This window comes from Homo sapiens, chromosome 12 (genome assembly GCF_000001405.40).
Source record: "Homo sapiens chromosome 12, GRCh38.p14 Primary Assembly".
Classification (NCBI taxonomy): Eukaryota; Metazoa; Chordata; class Mammalia; order Primates; family Hominidae; genus Homo; species Homo sapiens.
The window spans coordinates 55,966,755-55,973,455 of NC_000012.12; the positions used below are offsets into that span (position 1 = coordinate 55,966,755).

Genomic DNA, 6,701 nt, shown 5'->3' on the forward strand with positions numbered 1-6,701 from the left:
GGCGGAGCCAGGGAAACGCGGGAAGCAGGGGCGGGGCCTCTGGTGGCGGTCGGGAACTCGGTGGGAGGCGGCAACATTGTTTCAAGTTGGCCAAATTGACAAGAGCGAGAGGTATACTGCGTTCCATCCCGACCCGGGGCCACGGTACTGGGCCCTGTTTCCCCCTCCTCGGCCCCCGAGAGCCAGGGTCCGCCTTCTGCAGGGTTCCCAGGCCCCCGCTCCAGGGCCGGGCTGACCCGACTCGCTGGCGCTTCATGGAGAACTTCCAAAAGGTGGAAAAGATCGGAGAGGGCACGTACGGAGTTGTGTACAAAGCCAGAAACAAGTTGACGGGAGAGGTGGTGGCGCTTAAGAAAATCCGCCTGGACACGTGAGTGGCCTCTGTACCCGGGACTCCTAACTGGGGACCTCCTTGATTGTCCCCCCCAACCCCCCACGGGCGGGTAGCCGTCCAGGGACCGGAAGAGAGCAGGGAGGGACTTCTTTAGAAGTGGAGAGGTGGGTTGGGGGCCAGTAGAAGGTGAAGAGTATACTTATACTCCCTGGGGAGAGTATAGGGTGGTGTGGAATCCATGGAAAACTTTCTTCCCAAACTGAGCCGGATCGTGCCCCCAAATGTGCGACTACAGACTCGGGGAGAGAAAGGAGGTCTCTGAGATGAGGTCCAAGACTCTCCATGGAGTGGAGTTATGTGGGAACCGGCGAGAATCGCCTTTCTGAATGAAGAGCCCTCTTCACTGCCCCACCCTCACCTTAGAATTCTCTCCTCTTTCCAAAGAATGGCAGTTGAACCTCACTGGCCCCTCTGGGGAGGCTGGGGGCTACTCCTGCATTTTTTCCCCTCCATTACAGTCTCCCTGCTTCACCTTCACCAGGCGGCTTTACTTACCTACCCCTGGGAAAAGAGGAGATAATGGCCTTAATATATCCAAAAACCACACCCTGACTACCCAAGAATTAGCTCTTACCATCACCCTTTCTCTTCTCTCACTTTCCTAGGGGGTGCTGGGTGGTGTCTCCTTGGGGGAAAGAAATGACTAGGTGGGGGGGAAAGGAATATTTGTAACCATATTCCCATCTCTGCTTTCCCAACCTCTCCAAGTGAGACTGAGGGTGTGCCCAGTACTGCCATCCGAGAGATCTCTCTGCTTAAGGAGCTTAACCATCCTAATATTGTCAAGTAAGTATGCGTCTGAGAGGTGATCCAGCTGGAAAGGAGGATAAGTTCTGTCTGTACAGTGTGGGCATTTCTCTCTCTCACACACCTCCATTTCCTCAAACTTTCCTTCTCTAGGCTGCTGGATGTCATTCACACAGAAAATAAACTCTACCTGGTTTTTGAATTTCTGCACCAAGATCTCAAGAAATTCATGGATGCCTCTGCTCTCACTGGCATTCCTCTTCCCCTCATCAAGGTAATGCTTCTCATCAGCTCCTCTCATCATGGGCATGTCTTGGGGGACTGGTGGCAGGCAATTCAGGGTGATATTTTATGATTTTGGCCTCCTTCTGAGCCCTCATCTCCTATACACACACACTCCCCTTCTTTTTGTGTCTCCTTCCCTGCTCATTATATTCATTAACCCTAGGGTTGGACTGAACAATCAAAGTTGAAACTCTAGTGAGTCAACCTAGCAACTCAGGTGGGAGGTCAGATGAAACTCAGATAAACGGGATTTGAGAGCACTTGGTAAATTCCTCCAAAAAGCCCTTCCATTTGGTGGAAGACCTAGCTAGTGAGTCCCTATTGTCTATTTTAGGGCTGGATTCTTCACTCCCAGAGCTACTTTCAATCTATTAACAAACATTTTTTCAATGCACAGGATGTAGAAAAGGGATGGAAAATTGAGTAAGACTTGGTCCTTATCCTCTCTGGGCTGACAGTCCATTGGGAGAAATAGCTTGTAAATATGTAACTATAATCCAACATAATAAAGGCTTTAGTAGAGTTTTAGGGGCACAGAGCAAACCCAGTCTGCTCACTGTAATGGAGAAACACAGTCCTCTCTTTCTCCTTTGTCAGAGCTATCTGTTCCAGCTGCTCCAGGGCCTAGCTTTCTGCCATTCTCATCGGGTCCTCCACCGAGACCTTAAACCTCAGAATCTGCTTATTAACACAGAGGGGGCCATCAAGCTAGCAGACTTTGGACTAGCCAGAGCTTTTGGAGTCCCTGTTCGTACTTACACCCATGAGGTGAGTCCCTTTATGTCTTTTTTCTCTGAGCTTCCCAAGAGGTGTTAACTAGGGTATTCACAAAGTTACTAAAAATATCTGGCTAACAGTTTCTTACTAGGTAGAAATAATCTCTTGACATCCTAAAGAGTCTTAGGGTATGCATGGAATTCATACTGTGTTGCTAACTGGGCCCACACCTGTAATACCAATACTTTGGGAGGCTGAGGTGGGAGGATCACTTGAGCCCAGGAGTTCGAGACCATCATGGGCAACATAGCGAGACCCCATCTCTACAAATCTACAAAAAGAAAAAATTTAGAAATAAAATTATGACCAATTTGTCTCAAGTTTTTCCAGGAAGATCTCAAATTAGGGGTTCAGTCCAGAACTATGGACTGGAAATCAGTGGGAGGGGAAAGATGATGGAGGGAAGGAAACTGCTTGTTAAGAGGCCAAGAGTAAGCAGAGTAGTGTTGAGGAACTGAGATGCGGGAATTTCCATACCCTATAAACCACCCCGCCCCTCCCTATTCCCGTCCCTCAGGTGGTGACCCTGTGGTACCGAGCTCCTGAAATCCTCCTGGGCTGCAAATATTATTCCACAGCTGTGGACATCTGGAGCCTGGGCTGCATCTTTGCTGAGATGGTATGGAGGCTTGCCCAAGTTCCACCCAGCCCCCTCCCTCTCCTCCCCACATCCAAGAACAACAGAACTGCTTCTTGGCCCAGACCTATGGCCCTTCTATCACAGGGTTCTCTCTCTAAAGTAGCACCAAGGGGAATGGTGGGAAAGGATGCAACTGTTGCCCTGATATCAACCACAGTGTTAGGATATCCTCAAACAGCCTTAGTACCTGGTATACATCTCTTATCCCTGAAATAAGTTAAAGCATTTCTGCAGCTGTTTTAGCTGTAGTCTGCATATATTTGGGAGAATGATTCCATTTAGTGCCTCTTTTATTTCAGGCCTTCATTTCAAGGCTTGTAGACCTTGTTGTATGGTGCCAGCAATGTAGTGAAGACAACTGTGGTCACTTTACCCACACCTTTCATTTAAACTGCAGATTTAGGCAGGGTGCAGTGGCTCACACCTATAATACCAGCACTTTGGGAGGCTGAGGTAGGTGGATCACCTGAGGTCAGGAGTTTGAGACCAGCCTGGCCAACATGTTAAAACCCTGTCTCTACTAAAAATACAAAAATTAGCCAGGTGTGGCTACTTGGGATTACACACCTGTAATCCCAGCTACTTGGGAGGCCAAGGCAGGAGAATCGGTTGAACCCGGGAGATGGAGGTTGCAGTGACCAAGATTGCACCACTGCACTCCAGCCTGGGCGACAGAATGAGATTCCATCTCAAAAAAAAAAAAAAAAAAAAAAAAAAAAAGATTTAGATCATGTTCCCCTTCAACCTCTGGCTTTTCAGACTGAAGGATCCTTGAAGCCTGGCTTTATGTAGAAGCTCCCATCTCCTTTAATATAACAGTACAGTGGTGCAGTAGGCTGTCTTCAAATCAGCAATATGTTTTATTGTCTTTTATCTTGGTTGTAACCAAGAGCTTAAAGACCATTAGCCTATACATATGTAATGTGCATTTATCCCCCCAGTGCATTACCTTACAATTGTCCGTATTCCTCTCTCAATTCATCAAAAAATATTTGTTAAGCACCTAGTGGGTACCCAGCACCATGCTAGGTGCTGTGGGGAACACAGAAGAAATGGAAGACAGAGTCTCTGCCCGCTGTGCTCGTATCTAGAAGTGGCTGCATCACAAGGTTGGGGGATGACCGCAGTGTCTACCCCCTACCCCGTGAGTGGCTTGGGATACCTTTGCTACATGTCAGTGGCACCCCAGACATTCACCCCCTCCCAGACCCACCCAGCCTTGGGGATCTGCAAAGCCATGGTTGGGGGAAGGAAGGAGGGGGCGAGGAGACAGATGAAGGAACTTCATTGTCTCAGGTTCTGTGTGACTGACCCCATGAAAGGCCCTGGGGAGGGAGTCATGGGGCCCTGCTGACCTTTTACTGTCTGTGGGAACTCCTTTGTATAGAGGAGAGTTTTGACTGACGTCAACGTGGGTCTTGGTATTTCCTCTTTCCCCATTTTCAGGTGACTCGCCGGGCCCTATTCCCTGGAGATTCTGAGATTGACCAGCTCTTCCGGATCTTTCGGACTCTGGGGACCCCAGATGAGGTGGTGTGGCCAGGAGTTACTTCTATGCCTGATTACAAGCCAAGTTTCCCCAAGTGGGCCCGGCAAGATTTTAGTAAAGTTGTACCTCCCCTGGATGAAGATGGACGGAGCTTGTTATCGGTGAGAGTGGGCACCTGTTTTCCCTCATTCATTTCTCCCAGGGAAGGGCTTTTCCAGGATGAAGGAAGGATGAGACCCTGAAATCTGGGCCTCAGTGTTTCATTTCCCTGGTTCCTGCTCTCCCTGTTGGCACACTGATTCAGCTATGGGAGGATGGAAGTGAGAATTCTGCCTTGGGTAGAAGGAGTTCTGGTTTCCTGATTTCTGGGAACACCTGCTGCCCATTTAGTCCACTATCACATCATTGAAGTCAACATGCATCTCTCCCTCTAGCAAATGCTGCACTACGACCCTAACAAGCGGATTTCGGCCAAGGCAGCCCTGGCTCACCCTTTCTTCCAGGATGTGACCAAGCCAGTACCCCATCTTCGACTCTGATAGCCTTCTTGAAGCCCCCAGCCCTAATCTCACCCTCTCCTCCAGTGTGGGCTTGACCAGGCTTGGCCTTGGGCTATTTGGACTCAGGTGGGCCCTCTGAACTTGCCTTAAACACTCACCTTCTAGTCTTGGCCAGCCAACTCTGGGAATACAGGGGTGAAAGGGGGGAACCAGTGAAAATGAAAGGAAGTTTCAGTATTAGATGCACTTAAGTTAGCCTCCACCACCCTTTCCCCCTTCTCTTAGTTATTGCTGAAGAGGGTTGGTATAAAAATAATTTTAAAAAAGCCTTCCTACACGTTAGATTTGCCGTACCAATCTCTGAATGCCCCATAATTATTATTTCCAGTGTTTGGGATGACCAGGATCCCAAGCCTCCTGCTGCCACAATGTTTATAAAGGCCAAATGATAGCGGGGGCTAAGTTGGTGCTTTTGAGAACCAAGTAAAACAAAACCACTGGGAGGAGTCTATTTTAAAGAATTCGGTTGAAAAAATAGATCCAATCAGTTTATACCCTAGTTAGTGTTTTGCCTCACCTAATAGGCTGGGAGACTGAAGACTCAGCCCGGGTGGGGCTGCAGAAAAATGATTGGCCCCAGTCCCCTTGTTTGTCCCTTCTACAGGCATGAGGAATCTGGGAGGCCCTGAGACAGGGATTGTGCTTCATTCCAATCTATTGCTTCACCATGGCCTTATGAGGCAGGTGAGAGATGTTTGAATTTTTCTCTTCCTTTTAGTATTCTTAGTTGTTCAGTTGCCAAGGATCCCTGATCCCATTTTCCTCTGACGTCCACCTCCTACCCCATAGGAGTTAGAAGTTAGGGTTTAGGCATCATTTTGAGAATGCTGACACTTTTTCAGGGCTGTGATTGAGTGAGGGCATGGGTAAAAATATTTCTTTAAAAGAAGGATGAACAATTATATTTATATTTCAGGTTATATCCAATAGTAGAGTTGGCTTTTTTTTTTTTTTTTTGGTCATAGTGGGTGGATTTGTTGCCATGTGCACCTTGGGGTTTTGTAATGACAGTGCTAAAAAAAAAAAGCATTTTTTTTTTATGATTTGTCTCTGTCACCCTTGTCCTTGAGTGCTCTTGCTATTAACGTTATTTGTAATTTAGTTTGTAGCTCATTAAAAAAATGTGCCTAGTTTTATAGTTCATCTCTTTCCTCCTCTTATTTACTGAAAGAATGGTGGGAGACAGAATATGAATGTGTGTATGTGATCATTGATTTCAGACCCCTTTTCCTAATCTCTCTGTGCATGGCTGCCCACCCCACCCCATTTTGGCTAGTGCTGACGGTGAACAAAGTGGTTATTATCATCCCTATTTATGGCTGGGGAAACTGAAGCCTATATACTTCCTACTTCACTTTCTCCACACACCAGCAAACCTCCTTTCCCCCAGCCAACATACCACACACACACCACACCACACACACATCACATACACACACCACACACACATCATATACACACATATACCACACACACCACGTATACATATACCAAATACACACACACCACATACACACCATATATGCACACACACCCCATACATACACACACCCATGCACATACATAGCGGCAGGAAGAGGGCTCCCGGGGAATTTGCCTTTCGACACTGCATTTCCCAGTAAGCCCGCCGTTTTTCCTTTCTGTTTCATATCACAGACAGAAAAGTTTTCCAAAGATTCTTTTATTTACATTTACATACGATTCTGAAAAAGCGTCTCCAAGCTACCACTTCTTGTAGTTGCCATTGTCTCATTCCACCAAAAAACATCTCAGACCGCCCGCGGCCACCCCAAATACGCCTGTCCACTG

General features: G+C 47.5%; 1 protein-coding gene across 4 annotated transcripts; it reads left to right on the forward strand.

Moving 5' to 3' along the window:
* CDK2 (cyclin dependent kinase 2) lies at window positions 76-6,035 on the forward strand. Of its 4 annotated transcripts, XM_011537732.2 has the most exons (8): window positions 76-370; window positions 1,103-1,180; window positions 1,295-1,415; window positions 2,024-2,194; window positions 2,721-2,822; window positions 3,844-3,987; window positions 4,290-4,493; window positions 4,767-6,035. In XM_011537732.2, exons 1-8 carry the CDS (start codon window positions 255-257, stop codon window positions 4,869-4,871), a joined length of 1,041 nt encoding a protein of 346 aa, XP_011536034.1. In that variant the 5' UTR covers window positions 76-254; the 3' UTR covers window positions 4,872-6,035. The 4 variants fall into 4 exon arrangements, with proteins under 4 accessions (XP_011536034.1, NP_001789.2, NP_439892.2 ...); NM_001798.5 differs by lacking the exon at window positions 3,844-3,987; NM_052827.4 differs by lacking the exons at window positions 2,721-2,822; window positions 3,844-3,987.

Excerpts from the sequence above, each read along its gene's own strand:
- CDK2 (XM_011537732.2), top strand. The coding sequence starts at position 255 with ATGGAGAACTTCCAAAAGGTGGAAAAGATCGGAGAGGGCACGTACGGA. Across the intron at positions 1,181-1,294 it reads AACCATCCTAATATTGTCAA|GCTGCTGGATGTCATTCACA; the intron begins GTAAGTATGCGT and ends TTCCTTCTCTAG. Across the intron at positions 2,823-3,843 it reads GCTGCATCTTTGCTGAGATG|CACCTAGTGGGTACCCAGCA; the intron begins GTATGGAGGCTT and ends ATATTTGTTAAG.